The sequence below is a fragment of the Homo sapiens genome, chromosome 17 (genome assembly GCF_000001405.40).
Source record: "Homo sapiens chromosome 17, GRCh38.p14 Primary Assembly".
Lineage (NCBI taxonomy): Eukaryota > Metazoa > Chordata > Mammalia > Primates > Hominidae > Homo > Homo sapiens.
Genome location: NC_000017.11, coordinates 50,148,061 through 50,176,046, shown reverse-complemented (window position 1 = coordinate 50,176,046; position 27,986 = coordinate 50,148,061). Strand labels below are relative to the sequence as shown.

General features: G+C 54.2%; 2 protein-coding genes, 2 long non-coding RNA genes and 1 pseudogene across 12 annotated transcripts in view, besides 13 other annotated features; 3 read left to right on the top strand and 2 right to left on the bottom strand.

Annotated features, from left to right (window-relative positions):
- Positions 5-299: an enhancer, noted in NCBI's record as "tiled region #9980; HepG2 Activating DNase matched - State 4:PromP". NCBI's record gives its function as "activates a minimal TATA promoter and a strong SV40 promoter by Sharpr-MPRA in HepG2 cells {active_cell/tissue: HepG2}" and the evidence as "EXISTENCE:reporter gene assay evidence [ECO:0000049][PMID:27701403]".
- Positions 119-10,042, bottom strand: SGCA (sarcoglycan alpha). 3 transcript variants are annotated; one of them, NM_000023.4, is made up of 10 exons: positions 9,970-10,042; positions 8,560-8,679; positions 8,311-8,465; positions 8,028-8,100; positions 7,475-7,673; positions 6,793-6,955; positions 5,696-5,904; positions 5,381-5,407; positions 598-790; positions 119-335 (listed from the first exon to the last, which is right to left on the bottom strand). In NM_000023.4, the coding sequence occupies exons 1-9, from the start codon at positions 10,004-10,006 to the stop codon at positions 610-612; spliced, it is 1,164 nt and encodes a 387-aa protein (NP_000014.1). In that variant the 5' UTR covers positions 10,007-10,042; the 3' UTR covers positions 119-335; positions 598-609. The 3 variants fall into 3 exon arrangements, 2 of the variants coding, with proteins under 2 accessions (NP_000014.1, NP_001129169.1); NR_135553.2 differs by lacking the exon at positions 5,696-5,904; NM_001135697.3 differs by lacking the exons at positions 5,696-5,904; positions 6,793-6,955.
- Positions 593-1,194: an enhancer, noted in NCBI's record as "H3K4me1 hESC enhancer chr17:48252214-48252815 (GRCh37/hg19 assembly coordinates)". NCBI's record gives its function as "activates a minimal SCP1, AML or CMV promoter by ChIP-STARR-seq in primed H9 embryonic stem cells {active_cell/tissue: H9 hESC(primed)}" and the evidence as "EXISTENCE:reporter gene assay evidence [ECO:0000049][PMID:30033119]".
- On the top strand, positions 3,571-4,619 carry H1-9P (H1.9 linker histone, pseudogene; annotated as a pseudogene). 2 transcript variants are annotated; one of them, NR_024192.1, is made up of 2 exons: positions 3,571-3,869; positions 4,016-4,619. The product of NR_024192.1 is annotated as a H1.9 linker histone, pseudogene, transcript variant 2 (transcript). The 2 variants fall into 2 exon arrangements; NR_024193.1 differs by having other exon boundaries at positions 3,571-4,619.
- LOC105371818 (uncharacterized) lies at positions 9,690-17,715 on the top strand. Of its 5 annotated transcripts, none has more exons than XR_934833.3 (4): positions 9,690-10,029; positions 10,568-10,836; positions 14,899-15,026; positions 17,424-17,715. It is a non-coding gene; the product is annotated as an uncharacterized LOC105371818 (long non-coding RNA). The 5 variants fall into 5 exon arrangements; XR_934832.3 differs by having other exon boundaries at positions 14,741-15,026; XR_007065839.1 differs by lacking the exons at positions 14,899-15,026; positions 17,424-17,715 and having other exon boundaries at positions 10,568-10,668; positions 10,748-13,707.
- Positions 11,948-12,448: an enhancer, noted in NCBI's record as "H3K4me1 hESC enhancer chr17:48240960-48241460 (GRCh37/hg19 assembly coordinates)". NCBI's record gives its function as "activates a minimal SCP1, AML or CMV promoter by ChIP-STARR-seq in naive H9 embryonic stem cells {active_cell/tissue: H9 hESC(naive)}" and the evidence as "EXISTENCE:reporter gene assay evidence [ECO:0000049][PMID:30033119]".
- Positions 14,265-14,559: an enhancer, noted in NCBI's record as "tiled region #13843; HepG2 Activating DNase unmatched - State 4:PromP, and K562 Activating DNase unmatched - State 1:Tss". NCBI's record gives its function as "activates a minimal TATA promoter and a strong SV40 promoter by Sharpr-MPRA in HepG2 and K562 cells {active_cell/tissue: HepG2 | K562}" and the evidence as "EXISTENCE:reporter gene assay evidence [ECO:0000049][PMID:27701403]".
- Positions 14,315-14,554: a silencer, noted in NCBI's record as "silent region_8688". NCBI's record gives its function as "represses an Ori minimal core promoter by ATAC-STARR-seq in GM12878 lymphoblastoid cells {active_cell/tissue: GM12878}" and the evidence as "EXISTENCE:reporter gene assay evidence [ECO:0000049][PMID:35858748]".
- Positions 14,585-14,664: a silencer, noted in NCBI's record as "silent region_8687". NCBI's record gives its function as "represses an Ori minimal core promoter by ATAC-STARR-seq in GM12878 lymphoblastoid cells {active_cell/tissue: GM12878}" and the evidence as "EXISTENCE:reporter gene assay evidence [ECO:0000049][PMID:35858748]".
- On the bottom strand, positions 15,690-27,312 carry LOC124904025 (uncharacterized). The gene is made up of 3 exons (XR_007065841.1): positions 27,220-27,312; positions 16,615-16,737; positions 15,690-16,325 (listed from the first exon to the last, which is right to left on the bottom strand). It is a non-coding gene; the product is annotated as an uncharacterized LOC124904025 (long non-coding RNA).
- Positions 21,451-22,487: a transcriptional cis regulatory region, noted in NCBI's record as "candidate enhancer chr17.3603 targeted for multiplex CRISPR interference". NCBI's record gives its function as "positively regulates PPP1R9B gene expression with high confidence in K562 cells {active_cell/tissue: K562}" and the evidence as "EXISTENCE:mutant phenotype evidence [ECO:0000015][PMID:30612741]".
- Positions 24,705-24,999: an enhancer, noted in NCBI's record as "tiled region #5931; HepG2 Activating DNase unmatched - State 1:Tss, and K562 Activating DNase unmatched - State 1:Tss". NCBI's record gives its function as "activates a minimal TATA promoter and a strong SV40 promoter by Sharpr-MPRA in HepG2 and K562 cells {active_cell/tissue: HepG2 | K562}" and the evidence as "EXISTENCE:reporter gene assay evidence [ECO:0000049][PMID:27701403]".
- Positions 25,010-25,099: a silencer, noted in NCBI's record as "silent region_8686". NCBI's record gives its function as "represses an Ori minimal core promoter by ATAC-STARR-seq in GM12878 lymphoblastoid cells {active_cell/tissue: GM12878}" and the evidence as "EXISTENCE:reporter gene assay evidence [ECO:0000049][PMID:35858748]".
- Positions 25,170-25,259: a silencer, noted in NCBI's record as "silent region_8685". NCBI's record gives its function as "represses an Ori minimal core promoter by ATAC-STARR-seq in GM12878 lymphoblastoid cells {active_cell/tissue: GM12878}" and the evidence as "EXISTENCE:reporter gene assay evidence [ECO:0000049][PMID:35858748]".
- Positions 25,370-27,986, top strand: part of PPP1R9B (protein phosphatase 1 regulatory subunit 9B) — a 16,941-nt gene continuing 14,324 nt past the window's right edge. Inside the window, exon 1 of the mRNA NM_032595.5 lies at positions 25,370-26,904. Coding sequence (NP_115984.3) covers positions 25,534-26,904 — 1,371 coding nt within the window. The 5' untranslated portion in view covers positions 25,370-25,533. The remainder of the gene's footprint in view (positions 26,905-27,986) is intronic.
- Positions 25,909-26,018: a silencer, noted in NCBI's record as "silent region_8684". NCBI's record gives its function as "represses an Ori minimal core promoter by ATAC-STARR-seq in GM12878 lymphoblastoid cells {active_cell/tissue: GM12878}" and the evidence as "EXISTENCE:reporter gene assay evidence [ECO:0000049][PMID:35858748]".
- Positions 26,869-26,988: a silencer, noted in NCBI's record as "silent region_8683". NCBI's record gives its function as "represses an Ori minimal core promoter by ATAC-STARR-seq in GM12878 lymphoblastoid cells {active_cell/tissue: GM12878}" and the evidence as "EXISTENCE:reporter gene assay evidence [ECO:0000049][PMID:35858748]".
- Positions 27,719-27,788: an enhancer, noted in NCBI's record as "active region_12379". NCBI's record gives its function as "activates an Ori minimal core promoter by ATAC-STARR-seq in GM12878 lymphoblastoid cells {active_cell/tissue: GM12878}" and the evidence as "EXISTENCE:reporter gene assay evidence [ECO:0000049][PMID:35858748]".

The following is a 27,986-nucleotide window of genomic DNA, read 5'->3' as shown; positions in this document are numbered from 1 at the left end:
CTTTCTTCCAGAGAATTTGAGAAAACAGCAAAATGCCAAGAGTCCAAAGGGCAGGCCGGCAGGCACTGGCTGCCTATGGGGCCTCCCAGAAAGCACAAAGGGAAACAGAGCCAGTGAGGACGGGAGAGGCTGCCAGCAGCAATTGGTGAGCAGAGCAGCAGATATTTATTCTGAATGTCCTTACTCCACACACTCTCACCCCACCCCACCCCCTCTCCCTGCTTGTTTAGAGCCTGGGTTCCAGGAGGGCCAGGAGCTGGAATCAGCAGGTGGGATGTGCCACTCGTGGTGTGGACAGAGAAGGGAGGATGAAGTCAGGGCTGGACCTGGAACCACTGTGGGAAGAGAGAGTGGAGGGCTGAGAGGGCCAGATGCTGGTTCTCCTGACTTCCCCACCCTGACACTCCAACTGCGAGTGCTTGGCATTGGGGTCATAGCCCTGGCACTGGTGAGGACCCCCAGCAGCGGCCTCAGAGGGGCAGACAAGTCTATGTGCCTCTTCCCCTGACCTCTCCCAGACCCCACCATTTGCCCCAGCCTTGTGATAAAGGCCATCTTGTTCCCAGAAATAAGGCTGGCATCACCCACCAGACCTACCTGGCTAGGCTGTCAGTGCTGGTCCAGAATGAGGGGCACCTGGGCGCTGTCCACGCGGGGAGGCAGCCGCTCACCTGTGTGCACATTGAACATGGGCAGGGTGGAGAGTGGCCGGGGCACCTCGCGGCTGGCCGCCATCTGCCGCAGCTCCTCTGTGTTCCCGTGGATGGTGCAGTGGTGGACCATCTGGATGCTGGAGGCACAGGTGGGGAGTCATCAGCTCTGGGAGTCAGCTGCCCTGGAGTACAGCCTGGAACTGCCTCTGAGCCACCCTGCGGTCCTCCCCACCACTTATGTGGGGAGAGACTCAGACACATGATGCAGGGGCAGAAAACAAACAGAAAGCTCTATGGGGCCGGGCGTGGTGGCTCATGCCTATAATCCCAGCACTTTGGGAGGCCAAGGCAGGCAGATCACTTGAGGTCAGGAGTTCGAGACCAGCCTGGCCAACACGGTGAAACCCTGTTTCTACAAAAAATAAAAATAAAAATTAGCCAGGTGTGGTGGTGGGCACCTGTAATCCCAGCTACTCAGGAGGCTGAGGCAGGAGATTCACTTGAACCTGGGAGGCGGAGGTTGCAGTGAGCTGAGATCGCAAGAGACTCCATCTCAAAGTAAAAAAAAGAAGAAAAAAAACAAAAAAAAGAAAGCTCTATGGTGCCTGCTCAGTGCCCAGTGGTCAAGACATAGGCTGTGGGTGTAGACAGCCTGGGTTCAAGGCTGTGTGTCTTGGGCAAGTTGCTTAACCACTCCATGCCTTAGTTTGCTCAACGGCCAAATGGAGATAATAACACCTACCACCAGGCCGGGCGCAGTGGCTCACACCTGTAATCCCAGCACTTCGGGAGGCCGAAGCGGGTGGATCACTTGAGGCCAAGAGTTCAAGGCCAGCCTGACCAACATGGTGAAACCCCATCTCTATTTAAAAAAAAAAACCAAAACCTACCTCCTAGGACTGCTGTGAAGATTGAAAGAGAAAATGTGGCTGAGTGTTTACAACAGTGCCCACCACGTGATAAGCGCTCACAAGATATGGAGACATGAATAGACATCCACAGGGGCCATATTCTTCCAGAAGCCAGTGTTTGCTGAGCTTTATATTATGTTTTTATATTATTTATTTATTTTTAAGAGATGGGGTCTCACTTTGTCGCCAACTTCAGTGCAGTGGCACAATCGTAGCTCACTGCAGCCTCTACCTCCTGGGCTCAAGCGATACTCCTGCCTCAGCCTCCTGAGTAACTGGGACTATAAGTGCAAGCCACCATGCTCGGCTAATTTAAAATTTTTTTTGTAGAGACAGGTGTCTTACTATGTTGTTCAGGCTGGTCTTGAACTCCTGGCCTCAAGGGACCCTCCTGCCTCTGCCTCCCAAAGTGCTGGGATTACAGGCATGAGCCACTGCACCCAGCCAAGAATTGGTTTTCTTAGAGGAGCTGGGGCCCCAGGCAGGGCTGAAGCGACCCCACTTGCCACTTGGTTACTGATGAGATGAGGGAGGAGAAGTGATCCCCACCCATGTTCAGGTCCCAATTAGTGGACACAGACTCCGGTTAGAGCCTGACAGTTTAGACTGCAGAAAAGACCTAGCTTCACGCTGAATGGGCCATGCTCCTCCTGCGGGGAGGCCAGCAGGAAGAGGTGGAGTCACCATCTAAGGCCAGGGGAGGGTCAAGATGAGCTCTTGAGTCTGGAATTCAGTGAGCTGAGTTGTCCGAAACCCAATTTTCTATTCCCAGGCAAGGGGAGACTGAGGGGAAAGAAAGCAACCAGTGTGTGGATGCTGAGATAGAGACAGCTGGGCAGGTGAGGCCCTGGCAGAGGAAGGCCTCAGTCAGTGGGCCCCCTCCTTATTCCCAGCCCCACATCTGGACCTCATTACTCTGGCAACACACAGGTGGAAAAATGTGCTGGGGATGTTTTTCTAGAGCAAGAGCAGAGGCCAGACCCCGCAGTGGCTTCCCCACGGTCCTTCCACATCAGCACTTGGGCAGACAGACAAACGGCAGGCATTCCTACACACTCAGGCACACGCACAGACACACACACACGTGGCCTAGGTCTCACCCACACCCACTCCACCACCAACACACAGTCCCGAAAGCACTGCCTCTGGCACAGAAATCCCCAGGAGAGGGTCGTGGGGCCTGGAGGACTCTGTGACCGCTGAAATCTGATCTAGGTGAAAAGCAGGCAGCAGAATCATAACTTGTGGATAATCTGAAAAGTGGCAGACATTGAACAAGTGAAAAATTGGATTTTGTAGAAATACATCAACGTGAAATCCAAACCAGCCAAGGCTAACGTTGCACATGGTAAAACGGTTATTGATTTCACATTGACTGAGGCAGCAGATTTTTCTGACAACATCAGAGCTACAGAGTTGACCCGGGGAAGGCTGGATGTGGAGGAAATACTGGTCACAAGAGAATATCCCCAGTGCCAGTAGATGTTAGTGTTTAAATTTGGTTCAGTCCAAAAAAATTGAGGAATAAAATCTTCCTAGTGAAATGTACATGAAAAATCACTGATCCCCATGGGGAAAAATTCTATAAAATTGAAAACAGAAAATAAAAGCAAAGCCTTTTAACTGCTTTGTATAGAAAGTTGCTTGAGGAATTAAGTCAACTTAGCGTAAGTCAACTTAGCGTACATCTCTGTTCACTTTGGAAACTATATTCCCCATAAAAATTCATAAATGTTGGTATAACCCTGATGCCTGCAAAGCTTGTATTCTTCAACCCAGTGGCTCAAAAACCCAGTGGGTCAAGATGGTGGGATCAAAATGGTGAGTTTAAAACTGGGGGCCAGGCCAGGTGCAGTAGCTTTAGTCCCAGCTACTCAGGAAGCTGAGATGGGAGGATCGCTTGAGCCCAGGGAGTCTGAGGTTGCAGTGAGCTATGATTATGCCACTGTGCTCCAGCTTGGGTGACAAAGTGAGACCCTCTCTCTAAAAATTTTTTAAAAAATAAAATCCGCCCAGGCATGTGCACACACACATGCATATGTGCACGCACCGTGCAGGCCCGCTGTCTGGCCCACAAGCGCAGCCCTCCTCCCCAGGACACCTGGCATGTTACATGCCTCCACCATCTGGCATCTCCGGTCCACCCCTCCCCGGAGGAAACAATGGGGCCACTGTGACCCACACAGAATTCTGGTAGCCTCTGAGGTCACCACAGAGATAACCTCACCAACCCCTGCACCAAGAGCACAAGTCTGTGGAGGCCAGCCGTGGGTGACCGTCCTTGATCCTCTTTCTGGCCACACAGGTAAAGGTGAGGGCCGGAGCTCAAGAGGAAGCCTCAGCGAGGACCAGGAACCGGGACACACCTCAGCCATCCTGTGAGGGGCAGCCCAGTGGAGACTTCCAGCCGCCCTGGAGGTCCTTGCACCCAAGACACTTCACCTACCCCAGGGAGAGAAGCAGAAAGGCACTTCGCCACTGTCTCCATCAGTGCTGTTGAACTCAAATACTGCCATGGGTGGAGGCCAGCAGGGCAGCGTGTCCCTAGCAAGACAGCGACTGGGCAACGCACCTGTGCCAAACCCTGCCAGAAGCCCAGCACGTCCAAGGTGATCCTGAGGGCTGTGGCGGACAAGGGGACCTGCAAGTATGTGTCCCTGGCCACCCTGAAGAAGGCTGTTTCCACCACGGGCTACGACATGGCCCGAAATGCCTATCACTTCAAGCGTGTGCTCAAGGGGCTGGTGGACAAGGGCTCAGCAGGTGACCGGCAGGGGGGCCTCAGGCTCCTTCACCCTGGGCAAGAAGCAGGCCTCCAAGTCCAAGCTCAAGGTCAAGAGGCAACGACAGCAGAGGTGGCGCTCTGGGCAGCGCCCCTTTGGACAGCACAGGTCACTACTGGGCTCCAAACAGGGGCACAAGCGGCTTATCAAGGGGGTTCGAAGGGTGGCCAAGTGCCACTGCAATTAATGAGGCAGGCCAGGCAAGCAGTCAGGGGTGCCAAGACCGCCATTGGCTCAGTGCAGTGGGAATAAAAGGAACATAACTTATTTCACATCTGCCTCCTGGAATCTAGGGTTCAGGGTATTGGGAGAGGAAGAGGGCTGGGGGCACATAGGAGGGGTAAGGCCATGAGTAGGGGAAACCAGGCCAAAATAAGAGAGGAAGGATTTGGAAAGGGCTGGCAGAATTGGAAGCACTCATAGACACCAGCTAGTCCAACCTCGTGATCTTGCAGGTGGAGCATCTGAAGCCAGAAAGAAGGGTGACAGAGTAATTGTGTGGCAGAGCCTGGCCTGGACCGCAGGTGTCTGACTCATACTGATACTGGGAGTCTCTTAAGTTGCTTCTCAAGCCCTTTCCCCCAGAGTGGCAGCAGGTCCCATTCCCCTGTGTCACAACAGGCTTTTCTTTTTTGGGGGAAAGAGTTTCACTCTGTCGCCCAGGCTGGAGTGCCGTGGCACGATTACGGCTCACTGCAGCCTCAATCTCCCAGGCTCAAGCGATTCTCCTATCTCAGCCTCCCAAGTAGCTGGGACCACAGGCATGCTCCACCACGCCTGGCTAGTTAAAAAATTTTTTTTTTGTTGAGATGGGGTCTCACTGTGTTGCCCAGGCTGGCCTCAAACTTCCAGGCTCAACCAATCCTCCCACCTCAGCCTCCCAAAGTGCTGGGATTACAGAGGTCAAGGGAAGGGGTGAGCATCACCCTGGAGTTATTTATTTTGTCTCTGCTGTTCATGGCATAGTTTGGTGGCGGGGTCCAACAACTGTCTAGGTGGGCTCCCACCCCACCCCCAGCTTTCCTTTACTCACTCGGAGGTAGCCAGGTCTCTCTTCAGCCTGTGGAAAAGTGAAGGAGAGGGTTAGCCCAGCTCTGGGTTTCGCCCCAAGGTGCCCCAGGGCTCCAATGTGAGTGGAGGTCTGTGTGCAATTATCCACAATGCCCTCCTGGTGCCAGGCCAGGCAGGTCTCAAGCCCCAAGTTGCCTAGAAAGGGGCCCCACACTCCTTTTGTGCCTGAGAACCCCATTCCCATGGTGTCTGGGTCCCATACAGCACAAGTGCCACTGTGAGTCCCATGGGTGTGAGCTCCAGCAGGTGCTCCCCCGCCCTTCATGCCCACATTCACCTTCCCTCCCGCCGGCAGCACATGACATAGGCCAGCAGCAAGGTGAGAAGCAGGGCCACCAGCAGGGGCACCAGGAGGGTGACCAGAGCATCCACCAAGAAGTCACGGTCTGGGGCCTCAGTGGGTGGGCAGAAGAACGGGTCATGCTCCAGGATCCCATCACCTGGGGTGGGCACCTCATCTGCAGGCTCCGGCACTGACTTATCCACCTGCACAGAGAGCTCAGGGCTGACGCAGGAAGTGGCTGGCTGGACACAGAGGTCCCCAGGAACATGGCAGGGGCCAGGACTAGGAGGCAGGAGACACAAAGTCCAGCAGAGGCGGGACAGTGCACTGGTTAGCGCACAGCTCTAGGGTCTGACCTCCTGGTTTGAATCCAGACTCAGACAAGTGCTTAGCTAGGATGATTATGTGCCTCTGTTTCATCACCTGTAATGTCAGAAGGATAATAGTAGCACCTGTCTCCTGGAGTGGTGGTGAGCATAAAATATGTTGATGGGACAGTGCCAAGCACATAGCAAGTGCTCAAGAATGTTGTCAATTACCAGTCGCTGGCTGTGGACCCTGAATGAGTCCCTGCTCTGTTGGTCAATTCACAGGAACAGTGTACACCAGCCGTGGGATCCTGTGAACCTCAGCTCAGTATCCAAAGAGCTGTTGTGAGCATCTTTGGTTTATAGTGTGAAGAGCTATCAGATCCTTGTTGTAAGTGGGTTTGCTAGGTGGCACCTTACAGAAAAGCAGACAGAGCTGTCACGCAGAGGCCCTTGGTAGGGAAAGGGTTTGGGAACTGGACTGTGATATAGCTGTTGACCTGGGCAGATCTGGGGCGCGGGAGTTGGAGACCCCACATGCGGATTGCGGACTCTGTTGCCCTCTTGTGGGGGAAAGGTAGAACTTCAGGGGTGTGTGTGTGTGTGTGTGTGTGTGTGTGTGTATCCTCAGACTAAGCCTGTGGGCAATACTGAGAGCATCAGGGAAAGAAATGGTGACTGGAGCAATCAGAGAGACGGAGATAGGAAGCAGCATGGGAGGGAAGGGGGACTGGGATGGGGGCCATGCCCCACCCCACCCCCGGACCCAGGGTCCCTCCTCACCAGGGTCACATTGCACCAGTCAACGCGGAAGTGGGGTGCCAAGGTGTCGTAGCAAGACAGAAGTGGAGGCTGGCCCTGGGCACAGCGGGCGTGGCTATCGGGGGATGCCACCATCTTCAGGCAAGTAGAAAAAGGTGAGGCAGAACCCACCTTAATGTATACCCTGGGACCAGATAGAAGTCACTGTCAGCAGAGTGGGGGCAGGGGGCACGAGGCACCACTCTGCCAGGGGTTGTTGAAACTTTCCTAATTGTAGGCTATGACCTGGGGATGGGATGAGGGAGACGCCTAAGAGGGAGGATTAAGGGAGGAACATGGCACAGCTGGGGTCTGGCAGGAGTCACAGTCCTCCCAGAGATCTGAGATCATGGTGAGAGTACACAGGGCACCCCATTCTTCTAGGGGGTCTTACCCTCCCTACTAAGGAATGTCTTTTAATGGATGTATCTGGTACGTCCTCATGAGGCACCAGGAAGTACAGAGTTCAGGGTAACTAGGGTCTAGGCTCTGGAAGGACAAGGAGATGCGGGTATAGCCAGAGGAGAGTGGTGAGGGGTGTGAAGCTGGGAGGTGGAGATGTGCGTGGTAAAGCCCCACCTGGAAATTAGGGAGACCCTTGTTCTATGCCCGCCACAAGCTGCATCCTCCTCTTTCAGGAAGTCCTCTAGGGTTGCACACCTACCCTTCTTTTCGGCCCTCAATGGGAAGGGGGACACGGCCCCCACGGTCCAAGGCAGAGGTGACGTTGAGCAGCTGAAGCTCTCCGGGCTCCCAGAGTCCCCCCAAGGCTGAGAGGAAGCGGCTGGCAGGTGTTGAGGGCAGCACCTCCTCCGCATCGTGGCTGCGCACCAGGAACTCGGCTTGGTATGGCAGCAGGGGGCCTGGGAAGGCCAGGTGGACACCTCAGGCTGCACCCAGCCCCAGCTCTGCCCCGCAAAGCCTCCTTGAAGCTCCTCCCCACATCCCTGCACACCCCTTCAGGCCCCTCAATGCCCCATCCATCACAGACCCCAACAAGCCAAGTCCCAATAGTCTCTGCAACGCAGCGAGTAACAGAACTCCAGAGCCTGGAATCCCAGCCCAGCACCCATTCCCTGAGAGCCTTGTCCCCACTTTCCAGGATGCCCTGCTCCACTCCTCTCCAAGCCTCTCCTGTCCACAGCCCCCTCCCCCTCCGGGAGAGATTCCCCAAGACTGGCATTGGTGGGGAAGGGATGGGGCACAGCTAGAGGTACCTTCTGGGTCCCCAATCTCCAGCACCAGCCTCTGCCGAGTGGTATCAAAGCTGTCCCGATTGTAGGCTGTGACCTGGGGGATGGGAAAGACATCTGAGAAGTGGGTTAGGGGAGAAACGTGGCACAGCGGGGGCCTGGCAGGAGAGGACTCAGATACCAAATTAGAGGTATGTAAATTATATGTAAATGACTGTGAATGAGCACCCAATCCCAATTCATAGGGCTGCTCCTAGGAGGCCACTCTGGCCCACCCCTGTGATTTTCTCAGGGTCCCTGACGGCACCTCAATGACCTGGAGCCCACGATCTTCTGGGGTGGCAGAGCCGTAGAGGAAGCCAGGGTGGTGGGGGCTGCGCTGGGTGTAGCGGAGCCACCGGGGCAGGTCTGGGTGTCCCTGGAGGTGGGCGTGGTAGGTGATGTGGACAGCGGGTGGGACAGCTGGTGGAAGCGAGGAGAGGGGATTCGAGTCACAGCAGGAGCCCTGCGGGGTACACCCCAGCCCGCCCGCCTGGGTGCCTGTCAGGCCGCTCACCGACATGCTCAGGAAGGCTCAGAAACGTCTCATGGTCCAAGGTGTGCACAAAGACACGGCCCACAAGTGGGTGTAGCGTGGTCTGCTGGGCCTCGGTGTCCCCCAGCCCTGCCAGGAGAACTGTGGGGACCCCACAAGTCCCAAACACACAGGCCAGCCTCAGTCCTGGGCAGGGGATAAGCTCCCTTCCCCACCAAGTCCTTGGAGCCCCTAAGGGACCGAGAGAAGCGCTTCCTTTGCTGCCTCCCAGGAAGGGATTGGGGTGGGGATGGGGGAGCAAGCCCTGCTGGGCTAGACATTTTAATCGTCTGGGTTTCGGGATTCGAGGGAGAACCTCTCCCACAACCTTTCCATTCCTTGTTTTAGGCCCCTATTAATGGTGCAGTGGGCAGGGACTGATGTTTGACTGGGAAGTGTGTGTGTGAGGGTGTGTGTGTGTGTGAGGGGATGTGGGGGGGTGTGTGTGTGAAGGTATGTGTGAGGGTCTGTGAGGATGTGTGTGAGGGTGTGTGTGCAAGTGAGTGTGTGTGAGAGGGTGTGTGTGAGGGTGTGTGTGTGTGAAGGTGTGTGTGGGGGGTGTGTGTTTGCGGGGGGTGTGTGGGGGTATGTGGGGGTATGTGGGGGTGTGTGTGGGGGGTGTGTGTGACGGTGTGTGGGGTGTGTGTGTGACGGTGTGTGTGAGGGTGTGTGTGTGAGGGTGTGTGAGGGTGTGTGAGGGTGTGTGTGTGAGGGTGTGTGAGGGTGTGTGAGGGTGTGTGTGAGGGTGTGTGTGTGAGGGTGCCGTGAGGGTGTGTGTGAGGGTGTGTGTGGGTGTGTGTGTGTGTGAGGGTGTGTATGTGTGAAAGGCACTGGGAAAAGAATCCCATGCTAAATGCCCAAGAGCCCAGAGGAGAGGAAGACGGGGCCAGGAGCCTACAGAGGAGGAAGGGTAGCCATTCTGGGCCTGGAGACCCCCACCTTCCTCCCCTAAAATACAGGGAAGAAGAAGGCCTGCCCTAGAGGCCAGTAGGAGCTGAGCAAAAGGAATCCTAAGTCCAAGAGAGGAGCAGAGGACCTGGCCGCCAGCTCCACCCTCCCTCCCAGGGCCAAATTTAGCCTGGGCTTAGAAGCTGCGGCCCAGCCAGCTCATTAAAGGGCCCACGACCCTTTGGGCCTGTGCTGTCAGACCCACCCGGGCCCTAGGACACCTCCAGCCCTCAGAGCTCCCAGCCCCTTCATCCCAGAGCCCAGCTCCCAGCCCCATTCCCTGGATCCCCAGCTGGCCATGGCATTAACACCCCAAAGCCCTTCTGGCGCCTGCCTCACCCAACCCAGATCCCTCTTCTGTGGGCCCTCCACACCTCCGTCTTACCACCCCTAAATCCTGCCCCCTCATCCTGGGCCTCCCCGCTGAACAAGGCCCCAACTTGCCCACGAGGAGAGGAGTCCAGAAGAGTGTCTCAGCCATGGCTGCCCGGCCTGGCCCGCCCGGTGAGTGACAGAGACAGGGGGCAGGGAGGAGAGGAGGGAAGGAGGGAGGTGGCTCGGGGCAGCTGGGTCCCAGCGTCAGCCTCCCCTCCCCGCCTGGAGCATGCACCAAATCTGGGATAGACACCCTCCTCGCACTCATTGTCCCTCCAACCGTCCCCTCCAGTGGCCACAGTGTTTTTTAAACCACCAACCAGGCCACCTCCATCCTCCCTTAAAACTCTAATGGTTCTCATGGCCCCTGAGTTCCCAGCTCATCCCCAGTTGGTGGCTTTCTGGCCTGTCCTGAACCTGGTCAGCTGGTCTAGAATCCCATCCTCTGCCCCTACCCTTCCAACCCCAGGCCCCTGCTCAGCCTCACTCCGCTCCTGCCTAGCTTGGCAGACTCTCTCAAGTCTCCAAGCCGTCGTCCAGGCTATTGCCTCTGCCTGCAGTTCCCTTCCCACCTTCATTCAAGCAGCAACCTTCCAGTCACCTTTCCAGACTCTGCACAGATGTCCTCTCCTCTCTGAAGCCTTTCTGACCTCCCTTCTTCTGCTAGGCCAAGCTGGGTGTCCCCTTAGCCCCTGCGTGCTTTCCTGGGCACAACACAATCACACAGACTGCTCCAAGCTCCTCGAAGACTAGGATCTTGTCACGTTTGTATCCTTGGGCCTGGCACAGGGCCTGGTAACTAGTAGGTGTAGCTGGCTGGCGGCAGCTTCCTTAACAGCAAACGTAGGTGCCATCCACCCAGCCTTTATCCCCAGTCCAAGCACTTCAGCGTGGAGGTCTAGCAAGCCCTGGACAGGACCAGCCAGCTAGAGACAGGTGAGCGGAGGAGGCACCCTCTCTGGCCCATGGAGTCAGGGTTCATTCGGCGCATAGACTTGGAGGCCTGGAGGTGGGCCACCTTGGCCACTTGCTGGGGATGAGGCCTTGAGTGCACCATTTGCCCTCTAGCCCATTTCCACAACTATAAACTGGCAAGAATAGTGCTTGCCTCTTGGCATCATTGTGAGGACTCCACAAAGTAATGAATGCAGCGCATATTTATGAAACACCTGCTATGTATCAGACATTGAAATTGCAAAGATAAGCAAACCTCTGCCCACATGGAGGTCACCTGCCAGTGGGTAATACCAGCTAGCGCTGCCAGCTACTGTGCTGAGAATCTTACATATATCTACCTATATTACCTCATTCCATCTCCTCAGCAGTTCCATGAGGCAGGTATTATTACTGTGCCCATTTAACAGATGATAAAACTGAGGCACAGGGGTGTATACCTTCCCCAAGGCCACATTGCTGATGAGTAGAATGCATGTGGACGGCTTAGCCCAGTGCCTGGCTCAGTCGATGACTGTGCTGCTGATGTACTTGCCCGGCCCTGCTTCCCCTTCCTTCTTGCCTCTGCCAAAGGATCTCAGTCCAGGGGCGATGGGGCGCGGTGTCCTCTCCCCAGGTCTCTCACTTAGGGCAGGCACAGGGGCACTCTCCCCAGGTGCCCTGAGAAGGGGGCGGGGACCTATGGCTGCCAGGGTTCCCAAATCCTTGGTGCCTGTGTGACCTCTCCTCCAGGGCCTCAAAAGGACAACAAAATACCCCAGGCAAGGATCACTTGGGTCCAGCCTAAGGGCACAGGTGTTGGCCTGCAGATGGGGTGACTGGTAGGCAGGTTACGCAGTCCTTGTCCCTTCCTCTCTCTCTCTCCACCTGACTGACCCGCTCATCCCTGGAGAGCCACCAAATTCCAGAGTCAGCGTCCCCTCAGGCAAGGCAGTATTTGTCCCAGCATCACCTGGCCATCTCTCTGTCTTCTCAGAGACAGAGGGAGGGAGGAAGAAAGGTTCTGGAGGCAGAGGAAGAGCCCAAGGGTTCTGGGGGAGCAGGCAGAAGTGCCAACCCCCTGGGCACCTGCCCAGCCTCACCCCTGAGCTTCTCCATGTGACTCCCCGCCCCCTGCCGTCCCCCTGGCTATTTTTGGAGCCACCCACTCAGCTGTCTTAAGGTAGCAGTGCCTGGCCCCAGTGTCACCAGGCCCACAGAGGCCAGCCTTCCTTAATGAAAAGCTGCAGCTACTTCCCCATCAGATCCTCCCTGCCCAATTCAAGGGAGCCAGGGACTGTCCCACAAGCCAGAAAGTCCCCAGAAACCCTTCTCAGGCCCCTCAGCCATCAGAGGACCTTCCCACTCAGAGCTGTCTGGATTGCAACCTGCTGCTTGTAACACACAGCACCTTCTGTCTATTGGGCCTAGGGGTGGGAAGGGAGGTCACAGGGTCTTTAAACTTCTTAGTTTGAAAAATTTGCAGCATACTATAATAAGCCCCCGTGTATCTGTCACCTGGCTTCAACAATTATCAACTCATGGCCAGTCTAGTTTCATCTGTACCCCTCCTGATTAATTTCATCCATCAATATTTCAGTGTGTATCTTTAAATGATAATGACTCTTTTTAACATAATCACATAACACGTTCAGCTATTAACATCATCAATAAAATTCCTTAATATCAAACTTCTAGTGTTCAAATTACCAATTTCTCATAAACATACATATTTTTACAGTGTATTTGTTTGACTCAAGATACAAAGAAGATACACACATTGCAACTGATTGATGATTTATAGGGCTTTTTTTTTTTTTTTTTTTGAGACAGAGTCTCGCTCTGTCACCCGGGTTGGAGTGCAGTGCCATGATCTCGGCTCACTGCCACCTCCACCTCCCAGATTCAAGCAATTCTCCTGCCTCAGCCTACAGGCACGTGCCACCATGCCCAGGGGTTTCACCATGTTGGCCAGGCTGGTCTCAAACTCCTGACCTCAAGTGATCCACCCACCTTGGCCTCACAAAGTGCTGAGATTACGGGCGTGAGCCACTGTGCCTGGCCAAGGCTCTTTTAAATTTCTTCAAATCTATAGGTTCCCATACATCCTTTCTCTCTCTTTTTTCCTTCCTCCCTTCCTTCCTTCCTTCCTTCATACTTTCCTTCCTTTCCTCCCTCCTTCCTTCCTTCCCTCCCTCCCTCCTTCTTCTTCCTTCTCTCCCTCCCTCCCTCCTTCTTCTTCCTTCTCTCCCTCCCTCCCTCCTTTCTTCCTTCCTTCCCTCCCTCCCTCCCTCCTTTCTTCCTTCCTTCCCTCCCTCCCTCTCCTTCCTTCCTTCCTTCCTTCCTTCCCTCCCTCCCTTCTCTTTCTCGTTCCTTGAAGGAGCCAGAAAATTTCTTCTGTAGTTTTTTGCCCTCTGGATTTTGCTGATTGCATCTCTATGGTGATCTTTAACATGTTCCTCCCACCTCCATACTTCCTGTACGTTGTATTTCCTGTACATTGTTACTGTAATTTGTAGTTGGATCTAGAGGCCTTATAAGGTTTATGTTCAATTTCCTTCGTTGAGACCACTTCATAGGTGGTGACAGTGTTCTTCCATTTGAAGGCACATCATGCGTTTCTGTGGTCTTAGTAGTGTCTTGCCTCCGCCATTAGCGTTTTATTTTTTGTGTGTGTGCAGAATAGTGATATTCAGATTTGATCACTCTGATCACCCCTTCCTTTATTAGCTGGAATAATTATAGACAGAAACTGCCCCTTGCGATTTGGTTACTGAGTGGGAAAGTTCGTAAAAGGAAGACGGGAGAAACGCTGGACTCTTCCTGTATTAAACAGTTTCTGAATAAAGAGCTGTTTCCCTAGCATCCTCCAAACTCTGGCCAGTCCGAGCTTCTTTGGTAGTAGTAGAATGATGATACATGGTTTACACCTATCTGACTGCTTCAGTCCATTGCAACTAGGGTCCCTTCTGGTGCTCACATTGCCTATCTTTAGCTCTCCGTTTTGTCATCCCCAGTTGGGGCGTCGGTCAGGAGAGCTGGAGGGGTCGGGGCTCGTACCCCACCTCGCACAGCTGGTGCCCTTGCCGTGCCCTAGGCTCCGCCGGTACTTCCCCGGCCTCCGCCTCACTCCTGCGGCCCAGCCCTGTCCTGAGCTAGTCGCTTCTCTGTCCTGGCCTTTTTGACATCCGCATCCGTCTCTCCAGCTTTCTGCCCCGTCTCTGCCCACCAGTGCCTAAATGTAAGCCCTCTGGTCCTTTGTCCCTGTATCTCCCCATCCCAGTGAATGTTTGCTGAATGAACGAATGACTGCTGTCCAGTGTGTCTCATTCAGCTTCAGTTTCTGTGCACCTGTCTCTAAGTCTCTTGAGGTCTGAGGCCGTGTTTTCTTTATCTGCATCTATACGTTGCCGTGAGGGACAAAGGAAAGGGCTTCTCGTCATTGTGATCTGATTCTCGCATCTGCCTCCCAGACTCCACCCACATCTTTCTCCCCTGTCCCGTACGCCGCCTCCAGCGCAACAACAAAGACTGCGACCTGGCCAGTCCGCCACGAGAGGGCGCGTTCGCTGGCGCCAGCCCGGTCTTGCGCCTGCGCGATGTTGGGACGGAGCGGGAGTCGGGGGCGGGATGCCTGCGGAGCGCGCCGCCCCGGGCTGGGGATGCGCGTCAGCAGTGCGTGCTGGGGGACGCAGTTACAGGGGGCGACGCAGGAGGGAACCCAAGGCCACGAGCTCCATCTCGTCCTCCCCTTCCCGACCCAGAAAACGCTCTAATCTACAGGGGGAGGAGAAGCCGCACGGAGGCAGGGGGCTGGACATAATGATCTCTTCCCCATCCCACCTCCACCCATCCCACCATCTGTATCAAGCCTCCGACTTCCAAGGACATTTCCATATCCCCCCAGACATTTTGGGATACCAGCCTGGAGACCTAAATGTACCCAGAATCCCCCGCCTTTTTATCGGTGGATTTCAGCCCTCAAAGCGTTCCGTGAGCCTCTGACCGCCCAAATCCATCACACATGAGTTGGAATGCCAGGGACCATTCCCGGCCAAACGTTAGATTACAGGAGTAAGAGAGAAGAGGAGGGACTGTCCGAGGTGCCTCGGCACTATGGCTGCACAGCTGGATCTCTGGACACGGAGCCCTGGACCGTTTCCACCCAGACACTCCCATTCCATCAAGTGGGGGTAAGAAGGATCAATGAGATAATGGAAGCGAAAGCGCTTTGCAAACTGTAAAGCTCTGGAGAAAGTAAGGGTGTTTTATTTATTTATAACTGACAGTGCAAGGTAATAGCTGCCCAGGGCCAGCCCACAGGCACAGCCCAAGAGCTGGAAAAGGTCAGATTTAGAAGCCACCATTCACTGATAGAAGGATTAGGAAAATAAGACCAGGCACGGGGGCTCACACCTGTAATCCCAGCACTTTGGGAGGCCGAGGTGGGTAGATCACGAGATCAGGAGTTCCAGACCAGCCTGGCCAACATGGTGAAACCCCATCTCTACTAAAAATAATTAGCTGGGCGTCGTGGTGGGCACCTGTAATCCCAGCTAATCAGGAGGCTGAGGCAGGAGAATCTCTTGAACCCGGGAGGCAGAGGTTGCAGTGAGTTGAGATCACGCCATTGCACTCCAGCCTGGGTGACAGAGCGAGACTCCGTCTCAAAAAAAAAAATTTAAAAAAGAAGGGTTAGGAAAATAAGAGGCAAAAGTCTCTGACATCTGTAGACAGCATGATTATTTATATGGAAAATCAAGAGATTCTACGGGCATATTATTAGAGTGATTAAGTGAAGTCATGCTGGACAAATGTCAACATCCAAATACAAAAAACCATATAAAATTCAGCAGTGTTTCTACGCACTAGCAATAGTTTATTAGAAATTGTAGTATCTTTCAAAAAGAAATCATTCACAATAAAATTAAAATTGTACAAAACCCAGAAAAAAATTACAAAACACATTGCAAGATATTTAGGAAGTAAAACATAGGCTACAATAGTAATAAATGGAGAGCCATAGAGAAGTATTAGGTTAAGTATGAGATGCCTCCATGTTATGAAGACGATTCTCTCCACGTTAATCTGTTGATTCATTGCAGGTCCAATAAATATTCCAACAGGATTTTTCACAGGGCTAGGCAAACTGATTCTAAAATTCATAGAGAAGAGCAAAGACCCAAGAAAAAAGTAGACAGTTCTGAAAAAGAATAAGGAAAGAGACCTGGCCCTAACAAATACCAAGACTTTTTTGAAAGCGATAGTAATTAAAACAATGTGGTATCGGTGCCGGGCTAGACAAAGGAATCAATAGAATAGAGTGCCCAGAAACAGATCCAAGTATATGTGGGAATGTGATTTATGATAGTGGCGGCACTGCAACTCAGTGAGAAAGAATAGACTTCAGTAAAATGTGTTGTGACAATTGGCTTTTCCTATGAAAAATCTTCACACCATCCATAAATATGAATTCCAGATGGATTAAAGACCTAAAAGTGAAAAACAAAACTTTAAAATAATTAGGAGAAAATGTAGGAGACCTAAGGGTAGGAAAGCATTTCTTAGACAAGAGACACACTCAAAAAAGATCAGCCGATTTTTATTACATTACCCCCCAAAAGCCCTCTGCTATGAAAATGATATTACAAAGAAAGTTAAGAGACAAGGAGCAGCCTAGGTGGCAATGGTGACAGCATACACAACAGATAAAGGGTTAGCATTCAGAATATACAGACCTCCTAGGAATCTACAAAATTAGCTGGGTGTGGTGGTGCGCACCTGTAATCCCAGCTACTTGGGAGGCTGAGGCAGGAGAATTGCTTGAACCTGGGAGGCAGATGTTGCGGTGAGCCAAGATTGCGCCATCCCACTCTAGCCTGGGCAACAAGAGCGAAACTCCATCTGAAAAAAAAAAAAAAAAACCTCCTAGGAATTAGGAATCAATATGGAAAAGACAGAACTTTTATTTTATTTTTATTTCTTCTTTTTTTTTTTTTTTTGAAACAGGGTCTCGCTCTGTCGCTCAGGCTGGAATGCAGTGACACAACCTCGGCTCACTGCAACCTCTGCCCCTCCAGGCTCAAGTGATCTTTCCACATCAGCCTCCCAAGTAGCTGTGACTACAGGCACATGCCACTATGCCCGGCTAATATATATATAAAACATATATATATGACATATATACATAACATATATATAACATATATATCTATATATATCACATATATATAACATATATATATATTTGGTAGAGATGGGGTCTCACCATGTTGCTCAGCCTTGTCTGAAACTCCTGGGCTCAAGCAGTCTTCCCACCTTGGCCTCCCAAAATGCCAAGATTACAGGTGTGAGCCACCAAACCTGGCCTATTTTTTTCTTTCAAGGTACTCATCAAGTAGTAAGGACAGACATTTTTTGTGCCACTCCAAATAGCATCCCTTCCTTCTTCCTTGATAATCAGAACCCCATTCTGATTCAGGTGTTTGGGCTTTGTGGGAGGCTCGGCCTTCCTCAACCCCATCAGGTGAATGATGATTGGTCTAAATATAGCATGCTAATTTAGTTCCTCTGGTCAATGATTGGTTTAGGTGTGGACGTTTATGCAATTCTGGAAGGTCTCCTGGTGGGGACCCCTGGGAAAGAGACTAATAAGAAAGCATCCAGTTTCTTCGGTCTCTGACGTTGTTGTCTGCACAAGAGAGTTAAGGCAGCCATCTTGGGACCATGAGGGAGCCAGTCTAAGAGGCAAATCAACACAATGAGAGGGTGTTGGAAAAAGACAAAAAGAACCTGGTCCTTGATGTCACAGCCAGGCCTCTGAATTAACCACCCCCAGGACTTCTTGTTACGTGAGCTAATAAACGTTCCTTTTTGCTTAAACCCCTTCTAGTTGGGCTTTCTGTTGTAACTTGCACCGAAAACTACAATAGGATAGCAAAGGATATGAACATAAGTGATTTGCCTAGAGGAAACCCACATGGTCAATGAGAATAAGATGCTCAGCCTCATAGGCAGGGAATGCAGCTTCAAATGAGATGCCACTTCATGCCTATCAGATTGGCAAACATAAGTCTAACAAGAGCAAAAGTTGGCAAGGATGTGGTAAAACAGGATGTCTTGTACAAACGCTGGTGGTGAGAGGATCAATTGGTTCAGACGCTGTAGAGAGCAGTTTGGCAGTACTAGTCAACTTCAAAGTGTGCCTGCCCGACAATCCTAGCTTTCTAAGTATATGCCCTAATAATGGGTTCAGAGAAAAGTCCAAGCATGTTCATTGAAGCCCTGTTTATATAACAGCAAAACAGGCCCGGTGCAATGGCTCATGCCTGTAATCCCAGCACTTTGGGAAGCTGAGGCAGGCAGATCACTTGAGCTCAGGAGTTTGAGACCAGTCTGGCCAACATGGTGAAACCCTGTCTCTGCTAAAAATACAAAAATTAGCCAGGCGCAGTGGCATGTGCCTGTAATCCCTGCTACTCGGGAGGCTGAGGTAGGAGAATCGCTTGAACCTGGGAGGCGGAGGTTGCAGTGAGCCAAGATTGTGCCATTGTACTCCAGCCTGAGCGACAGAGCGAGACTCCATCTCAAAAATAAATAAATAGCAATAATAACAAAACATAGAGACAACCTAAACACCCAATTGATAAATATATTGTGGCTTATTCTTCTGATAAAATAATAAACAGAAGTTAAAATGAACAAATCAAATGAACAAATGTGGCTACATTGTGAAAAAAACATGTTGACTGGAAAAATGATCCACATAGTATGATGGCCATTGCATAATTTTTTTTTTTTTTCAGGGTCTTGCTCTGTCACCCAGGCTGGAGTGCAGAAGCACAGTCATAGCTCACTGCAGCCTGGAACTCCTGGGCTCAAGTGATTCTCCCACTTCAGTCTCCTGAGTAGTCAGGACTATAGGTGCACCACCACATCTGGCTAATTTTTTATTTTTTTGTAGAGACAGGGTCTTGCCGTGTTGCCCAGGCTGGGCTTGAAATCCTGGCCTCAAGTGATCCTCCTGCCTCAGCCTCCCAAAGTGCTGGGATTATAGGCATGAGCCACTGTACCTGCCTTTGTTACATACATTTTTAAAATACATAATTCTAGACCAGGCACAGTGGCTCATGCCTGTAATCCCAGCACTCTGGGAGGCTGAGGCGGGCAGATTACCTGAGGTCAGGAGTTCGAGACCAGCCTGGCCAACATGGTAAAACCCCCGCCTCTACTAAAAATACAAAAATTAGCCTGGCATGGTGGTGCGGGCCTGTAATACTAGCTACTCAGGAGGCTGAGGCAGAAGAATTGCTTGAACCTGGGAGGCAGAAGAGGGGAATGGGGACTTATATGGGTATGGAGTTTTAGCTCTGGAAGATGAAAGTAAGTTCTAGAGATAGATGGTGGTGATGGCTCCACAACAAGGTGATTGTACTTAATGCCAGTGACCTGTACACACTGAATGGTGAATTTTATTTTATTTATTTATTTGTTTATTTTTGAGACAGAGTCTCGCTCTGTCGCCCAGACTGGAGTGCAGTGGCGCGATCTCAGCTCACTGCAAGCTCCACCTCCCAGGTTCAAGCCATTCTCCTGCCTCAGCCTCCCGAGTAGCTGGGACTACAGGCGCCCGCCACCATGCCCGGCTAATTTTTCTTGTATTTTTAGTAGAGATGGGGTTTCACCGTGTCAGCCAGGATGGTCTTGATCTCCTGACCTCGTGATCTGCCCGCCTCGGCCTCCCAAAGTGCTGGGATTACAGACGTGAGCCACTGCGCCTGGCCAAAATGGTGAATTTTATATCTCTAGTCTGCTACAATTAAAATATAGTAATGCAAAAATTATGGTCTAGAAAAGCTGTATTCCAAATGTGTGAGTGTTGGGGGAGGTGGACAATGGAACTGGGGAGAAAGAAAAGGGGGCTCAAATATATATATATACTTTTTTTTGAGACGGAGTTTTGCTCTTGTTGCCCAGGCTGTAGTGCAATGGCACGATCTCGGCTCACTGCAAGCTCCGCCTGCCGGGTTCTCGCCATTCTCCTGCCTCAGCCTCCCGAGTAGCTGGGACTACAGGCACCTGCCACCATGCCCAGCTAATTTTTTTGTGTATTTTTAGTAGAGACAGGGTTTCACTGTTAGCCAGGATGGTCTCGATCTCCTGACCTCGTGATCCGCCCTCCTCGGCCTTCCAAAGTGCTGGGATTATGGCACTGGGTGGTGTGAGTCACCGGGCCGGCCAAATATTCTCTTTTATATGTAAAAACCCAAAGCAAAAATGACACATTGCTAGCATTTGTAAATTCTGTCACATGATTCTTTGAAGGCCTCTTACTGTTAAAGAAACTTTTCAAAGTAAAAGTAAAAAAACAATTAATGAACATTTTTGTAGGAAAAAAGAGGTCTCTGAAGTAGAACTGCCCTGAAGTGCAGGATTTCTCACCCCACACCTCACCCCAAAGCCACCTGCGTGCTGGGCACTGAGCGTGGGAGACCTGAGAGCTGGTGTTCTGGAGGCTGTACCTGCGCCAGGCAGAGCCTGGCGGGCTAGTGGGGATGGAGATGGTGGGATGCTGTTTCCTCTGACCCAGGGCAGATGAGGCAAAGGCTGGCAGGAAAAGGTGTCTCCGAGAGCCAGTCTCCTTCTCAGGCACCCACTGCACAAGATCTGGAGGGCAGATGAAACATAGGAACCATCGAAACACAGAAATGTGTATTATTAGCAGTGAGAGCAGGCAGTAGAGTTTTTTGAATCTGCTGATGACAAAATATATTGCCTAATCTTTCTGATTATTTTTTTTTTCTTTGACCTCCCTGCATATCTCTGGAGCTCCCACAGCTACGGGCTGTCTGCCTTGCAAAATACATATTTACAGGCCCTCTAAGCCCAGCTAAATATAGGCTTTCTTTTAAAGCAACTGATGATTTGGAGAAATCTTTCCTCTGTCCAACCCCTTCCCCCGCCCCCCAACACACACACACACCCTGACTCCTCCTACCAAGTCTCCCTCCCTAGTCTCCAAGATGTATCTGAACTTTCCAAGAGCCACTGGAGCAAGTGTGGAGAGTGATAGAAAGAAACTGGGTACAGCAGAGGGAACCAGCAGCAAGGCAGTCTCCTAGCTGTGAGAGGACCCTAAGGGACCCCTCTCCCTGCAGGGACAATGAGGGGCTTGAGGCACCCACAGGCAGGAGTGAAAAACCCTTTGGGAAGTAGAGAAGAGAGGTCATCCCAAGAATGACCCCCAAAGATTTGGAGAAGCTGTAAGCAAGGGGTGTTTATATTTCAGAATTTCACATATTGAACCTTAAAGAAAATGAGAGCCCCAAAGTCCTGTGAAGACACACAGAGAGATGCAAACACCGAGTTTCATTCTCAGCCACACCTGCCCACATGTGCATGCAGGCACACACCCCCACATGTGCTTGGATACCCTGCAATCAGTAACAGCCAACACTCTGAGCCCCCTTTTAGTGCCTTATGCATTGAGGACCCATTTATTCCTCACAAAAACTCTATGAAGTTGGTATATTATCTTCATCTTATAGATGAAGGAATTTGTTGAAGCCCCTTAGCTGGGGAGTGGGAGGTTGGAGATTCTAACAGAGATGGCCTGGCTTCAAGGCCTGTGCTGCATGCACAAAAGTGAGGGACACCTAGGGTTATCTATGCTCAGGAAACACTCAGACACTCAAGCTAAGCTTTTTGAGGAAACAGGCTTTGGGAGGGGACACGACTAGCCCACGGTCATCCAGCAAATGAGTGCAGCTAGGACTCAATTCAGGCCTCATGAACCCTAGCCTGGTCTGTTTCCTTTAAAACTAGGTATGTCACTTCTCAGCTTTCGTCATTCTCCCTGTGAAGAGGTCAGCCAAGGGCCACTAAAGGCCCCTCCAACACTGACATCCTGGATTTGAGGTGTACACACACCTTTCCAGCATACCTTTCCAGCATCCTATAACCAGCCCAAATCCCTGGCAGAGGTCAACTCTTGAAGGAGAGCAACTGGGTGGGGACCACTGGCTCACCACAAAAGGATCCAAGTGCAGGGTCTGGGCCAGCCTCTGCTTAGATGACCGTGGCCAAGGAAAAACCGCTTTTAGAAGCTGAGTCTCAAGGCCCCAGGGCTGGAAAGAGAAGCCAGCCTTGGCACCCAGCCCGGGCCTGCGCCCAGGGCGCTGAGGGCTCGGGACTTATCGCTCGTCAGGCCTCTCCCTGCCTTCATCACTATCTTTGCAGTTACACCTGGTGTTTAAAACTAGCAAGCCTTGGGGAAGAGTCCTAACAGAGCATCTTCCCAAGGGCCCTAAGCAGATTTGGGGGGGTGTGGGAAAGCTGTGGCAGGGGGGCGGTTACCAGGAGGAGAGTTGGGGGTGAATTATCTCTGCCTATCGCAGCCTCTGGCCTTTTTAGCACAGGCTGGGAAAGGCGTCTCCTCCCCCACACCCTATCTTCTGTGTCCGAGCCACTCTCGTCCTTTCTGGGCCTTCTTTCATCCTCCCAGGGCACAGAGGAGGATAAGTGACTTGTCCAAGGTCACACAGCCAGTAAGCAGTGAAGCCAAGATTTGAACCCTAGCAGCCTGGCTCCTAGGTCAACCACTCTATGCCAAGGCAAAGGTAAGGAAGGAACTTCCATCCAAAGACCACTGGGCAACTTGGCCATCAAAGTCTCTTCCATGAAGACAAAGGAAAGAGAAAGGGTGGTTAAATTATCCTGGAGTGCTTCCTCACTGGAGGATGTAGGTGAAGATGACAGCCCAATGAATGAAAATTCTATTTAAAGCCTTCAGTTTGGATGGTAACCCTCCCAAACCCTCCTTGTTCCTATCAGGTGCGATTACTGCTCCAGACAGGCAGAGAAGGGATGGAGGGAATGAGACCCCATTCTTCACCCATCTCACAGGCCAGCCGGCTTGGTGCCTGACACCAGAGAACAAGTGATGGTGAAGCACTTACCGCTCCATAAAAGCGTCTTTGGGAATTCTGGCCAGGGTGTTGCTCTGCTAACCAGGAGCCCATGAAATAATAATCCCACTGATTAGCCTCAGTCCCCCAAGCTCTGGCTAGCTCCACCCTCTTGAAGCCCAAACCCCCTAGAAGGGTCTGTTAAAGGGGTTTGTCCGGAGATTCATAATCCTTTGGACAAGGGAGACCCAAGAGCACCCCTGTAATTCCAGTTTGCTCTAAGCTGCTACCGGAAATGCTGGGAGTCCGAGGGTCTCTGGGCCTGGTAGCTGGTTCTCAGCTCCTTCTCCCACCCTCAGAAACTGGGGGCTTCCCCACCTGGCCAGACGCGTGGGCACAGACCCCTTGGGCTGGGACCAGTTAAGATGATCTACCACCAAGGGTGTGGGAGATTCTGGGCAGAACACAGGGGCCTGCGCCCTCCTCCAATCCACACAAGAGCTTCTGAGTACATTGTACAAACTTCCAAACCCCAACTGGGTGAGGTTTCTGTCTTCTCCGGACTTCTATATTGGGGTTGGGGGGCCTGTGGGGAGGGGTTTTCAAGACCCAATCTTGAGTTTGGAAATCTAAGTCCCAAAGCTTGCTCCTGACAGAGGCCTTCTAAGAAGGGTTAGGAGACAGACTTCTTCACCCTGCACCATCCCAAAGTGCAAAACTGGGGAGGGGTAAGTTTCCTGGGCAACTGGGCAAAGATGCAGGTGGCATTTGGAAAGTGTGAGGTCTGGGTTCACTTCCGGCTCTAGCTCACAACCTAGATCTTCCCTCTTCCTTAGCACCAGCCTCAGGATCAGTCCTGCGGTTCCTGGCCCCTCCCGATCCCAATATCCAGGGTTCCCAGGCGGCTTCCCCACACCCCATCCCCCACGCTGTACTCTAAGCTCTTTTGCACATGGTAACGCGTTAATATCCCACAAAACCCACACACACCCCTGCAGTGGAGTGGTAGGAGGGCTCCCTTTGCCAGCCCTTCCAGGCCAGGGGGGAGAGAGTGGGAGATTAGGAAAAGGAGGAAGAGGATGGAGGGGAAGAGGGCGGGGGAGGAGGCAGAGGCCGCAGAAAGGCCTGAGATGCAGGAAGCAGCTGGGAGTGGGGGGAGGCTTTGTGCCTGAGTTGTTCTCTGGGTCCTAGGGCCCATTGTGTTCACCAGTTTCTGGGATGTGTGGAATGAACCAGCTCACCTGGACCTGTCCAGAGGGCGGACTCTCACACCCAGGGCCCAGGCAGCGCCAGCACCCTAGCTGTGTATGCGGGGGGTGCAGAGGGCATCAAACAGCTTTCTGGGTTGCCAGGACAGGGGATGTGTAAGTCACTGTCACCCTCCCCACCCCCCCACCCCAACCGGAACACAGTGGCCAGGATCCTTTAAATCAGAGACCCAAGTTAGAGCTCTCACTGGCGAAACTTTGGCCCCAGGCCTCTCGAATTCCTGCTCCCAAACCCTTCCTTCCGGTTTGAGAGGCAGGAGTGCCAGGGTAGGGGCCTGAAGACGGGTGCACAGCAGACAGGCGACAGGACATCCTTTCCAGACTTCGGCAGTTTTGGTGATCCCCTGCTACTTGGATGACGGGGTTCACCTCCTTTCTTCACCACCCCTCCCCCACCATCGAAAGGTCACCAGCGCTGGACCAAGGTTTCACACCTCCAAGGGGGCCAAAGATTGCCTGTAGTGAAGTGTTAAAATGCAGATTCCTGGGTTCAGCCTCGGAGATTCTCCTTCACAAGGTTCGAGAGAGATCCCAGAAATCTGCATTTTTACCAAGTGCCCAGCGATTCTGATGCTAAAGGCTTGAAGCACACCGAAGAGCTAGCTCCGAGGACACTGAAGAATGAACCTCTGCCCCTCCCTACAAACCCCCTCCCCTCACACTGAGACCATCGTGGATGTACTGCCTCCCCCCAATATTTCATGGAGGTGCGGTTCTGTGGGTTGTGACCGCAGTCAGAAGTTGTGATGGAAGCAGGTTGAAGAGTGCTGGCCAACGTCCGGGGGCAGCGGAAGGCTCTCCGCGAGGGCTGGGGAGGGGAGGGGATCCGTTCGGGTGGAGGGGAAGGGGAGGGCTCACAGGCTCCGGCCCCGGAAATCCGATCCCTTTAGGACCCAGAGGTGCCAGTCCCCCAGCGGCGGCTGCGAGAAGGGCAGCCGCTCGGTCTCCGGCAGCCGCCGCTCGGGCAAAGCCAGAGAAAGACCGAGGCTCGGGGCACGGGGGGGAGGGAGGGAGGGAGGGAGGCGCGGCGGCGGAGCGGCCCGGGCCGGCGGAGCAGCCATGGGCGTTGGGGTGCCGGGCCCCCCGAGAGCCGAGGCCTCCGGCCGGACTGGGGGACGCCCGGGCTGCCAGCCCCGCTGACACCGTCTCGGACGATGTGAGCCGGCGACACCGCGGCTGCTTCGCGGGCAGGGCGCGCGCTCCCACCGGCCCCAGACGCCGCTTTGCTAATTTGGGTGGGGGCGACCGTACCAGGCCGCTCGGGCTTTTGAAGCGGGGCTGGCTGTCTTCGGCAGCTTGATTGGGGGAGGCGACCCACACACAGGGCGCTTGGAGATTTTTTTTTTTTCATTTTTTTTTTTAAAGCGGGATTAACTGTTTTTGGCAGCTTGGTTTTGGGGGGACCCTAAAAAAGGCCTTCGGGGTTTCTTTTATCGGGGGGAGGGGGCGGTGGTCCCGACTTGGCCAGCCGCCTGTTGAAGCGGGGGAGCGGGGAGCAGGGGCATGCGAACCCGGCTCCCCCCACCATGATGAAGACGGAGCCACGGGGGCCCGGGGGTCCCCTCCGGAGCGCCTCCCCGCACCGCAGCGCCTACGAGGCGGGCATCCAGGCGCTGAAGCCGCCCGACGCGCCCGGGCCCGACGAGGCACCCAAGGGGGCCCACCACAAGAAATATGGCTCCAACGTCCACCGCATCAAAAGTATGTTCCTGCAGATGGGCACGACGGCGGGGCCCTCGGGCGAGGCGGGCGGCGGCGCGGGCCTGGCCGAGGCCCCACGGGCGTCCGAGCGCGGCGTGCGCCTGTCGCTGCCGCGGGCCAGCAGCCTGAACGAGAACGTGGACCACAGCGCCCTGCTGAAGCTGGGCACCAGCGTGTCGGAGCGCGTGAGCCGCTTCGACTCCAAGCCCGCGCCCTCCGCGCAGCCTGCGCCGCCGCCGCACCCGCCGTCCCGGCTGCAGGAGACGCGGAAGCTGTTCGAACGGAGCGCCCCAGCGGCCGCAGGCGGCGACAAGGAGGCCGCGGCGCGGCGGCTGCTGAGGCAGGAGCGCGCCGGCCTGCAGGACCGGAAGCTGGACGTCGTGGTGCGCTTCAACGGCAGCACCGAGGCGCTGGACAAGCTGGACGCTGACGCCGTGTCCCCCACGGTCAGCCAGCTCAGCGCCGTCTTCGAGAAGGCCGACTCGAGGACCGGCCTCCACCGCGGGCCCGGGCTCCCCAGGGCCGCAGGGGTTCCCCAGGTCAACTCGAAGCTGGTCAGCAAGCGGTCCCGGGTGTTCCAGCCCCCGCCGCCGCCGCCGCCCGCCCCGTCGGGGGATGCCCCGGCCGAGAAAGAGCGATGCCCCGCAGGGCAGCAGCCCCCGCAGCACCGAGTGGCCCCTGCCCGGCCGCCCCCCAAGCCCCGGGAGGTGCGCAAGATTAAGCCGGTGGAGGTGGAGGAGAGCGGGGAGTCGGAGGCCGAGTCGGCGCCCGGGGAGGTGATCCAGGCCGAGGTTACGGTCCACGCGGCCCTGGAGAATGGCAGCACCGTGGCAACTGCAGCCAGCCCCGCGCCCGAGGAGCCAAAGGCCCAAGCGGCCCCGGAGAAGGAGGCGGCGGCGGTAGCGCCGCCAGAGAGGGGGGTGGGCAATGGCCGGGCCCCGGACGTGGCCCCTGAGGAGGTAGATGAATCCAAGAAGGAGGACTTCTCGGAGGCGGACTTGGTGGACGTGAGCGCCTACAGTGGGCTCGGGGAGGACTCTGCGGGCAGTGCCCTGGAGGAGGACGACGAAGACGACGAGGAGGATGGGGAGCCCCCCTACGAGCCCGAGTCGGGGTGCGTGGAGATCCCGGGGCTGTCGGAGGAGGAGGACCCAGCCCCGAGCCGGAAGATCCATTTCAGCACGGCGCCCATCCAAGTAAGTGAGCCCCCCCGCCCTGCCCCCGCGCCGCCCCTGCCACGTGCACGCGGCCGCCCCCGCTCGCCAGCCAGCCAGCCGGGTTTGGCAGGCTGAGTCAGCCCCTGCCACCCAGCCCCCTTCCCAGAAGTTCCCACCCTCAGGGGGGCGTGGGGGAGTTCCAGCTGTTTGTCAGAGAGGGATTTTCAGGTGTGCGAGGGGGGTGGCCTGCCCCGACCTGCCCTCAGGTTCCTCCGCCTGCTGCCCCGCCCCGCCGCTCCGCGGAACCCGCCCTGCCCCACGCGGGTCCTGGGACACCTGCTTTCCCTTCCTCACCCGGACATTCCTTCCTCCAGAGGCTGCCAGAGGCTGGGGTTGGGTAGTGTGAAGGGGTGTGTGTGTCTTCAGGAGAGACATTTGCCCTTCACTGGGTAGAGAGGGGGCCGGGGTGCTTTCCCCCTGTATGGGAGCTGGATGAGGTGAGAAAGGGGAAAGCCAGGAACTTCTCAAAACGAAGCTGCAGGGGACCGCAGGCAGCCCTTCCTCTATTCTGTTTGTACCCCCACCCCAACTTTGCAGAAGTGAAAGAGGGAAGCAGATCGTGAGGGTGAGCTGGTCTGTGGCCATGTGACTGGCTGGCGCCGTGTTCCCTGGGGGTCCCTGCAGGCCAGCTGCCCGGTCCTCCTTGCACAGGGAGGGGCACTTTGTGTGGTCCTTGATGGGGAGAGGCCTTCTGCAGGCATGGAGGAGGAGGAGGTGGGGCTGGGATCCCCCTGGGTGCCTGGCAGTAGTGGGCATGCCTTTACTCTTGGCTGCTCAATAGGACAGACTCCCATGGCCTTGGCAGGCCCCAAGTGTTCTTGCCACATTCTCTGGGAGCCCTGAAAGAGGGATGGGAGCTGCCCCTTTTGGGGGTCTCATCCCCACGGCCACTATTGGTGGTTGGTTTGTGGGTTGTGCCAGAGCTTTGAGATCCTCAGAACAGCCCTGATGGGGAGGGAACATCCCCTGGGGGGAATCAAAAACCCCAGGCCACCCCTCCCCCCACTTCCCACCACCCTCCACTCTTGGCTAGCACATTCAGCCTGCAGGGTTCTTCCTCA

Bases quoted from the DNA above. Each gene is read 5' to 3' on its own strand.
- SGCA (NM_000023.4), bottom strand. From the start codon at position 10,006: ATGGCTGAGACACTCTTCTGGACTCCTCTCCTCGTGG. The intron at 8,101-8,310 runs GTGCCGTCAGGG...CCCATCCCCCAG, and splicing joins GTGGGCTCCAGGTCATTGAG to GTCACAGCCTACAATCGGGA. The intron at 7,674-8,027 runs GTACCTCTAGCT...TGGCCTTCCCAG, and splicing joins GGAGATTGGGGACCCAGAAG to GCCCCCTGCTGCCATACCAA.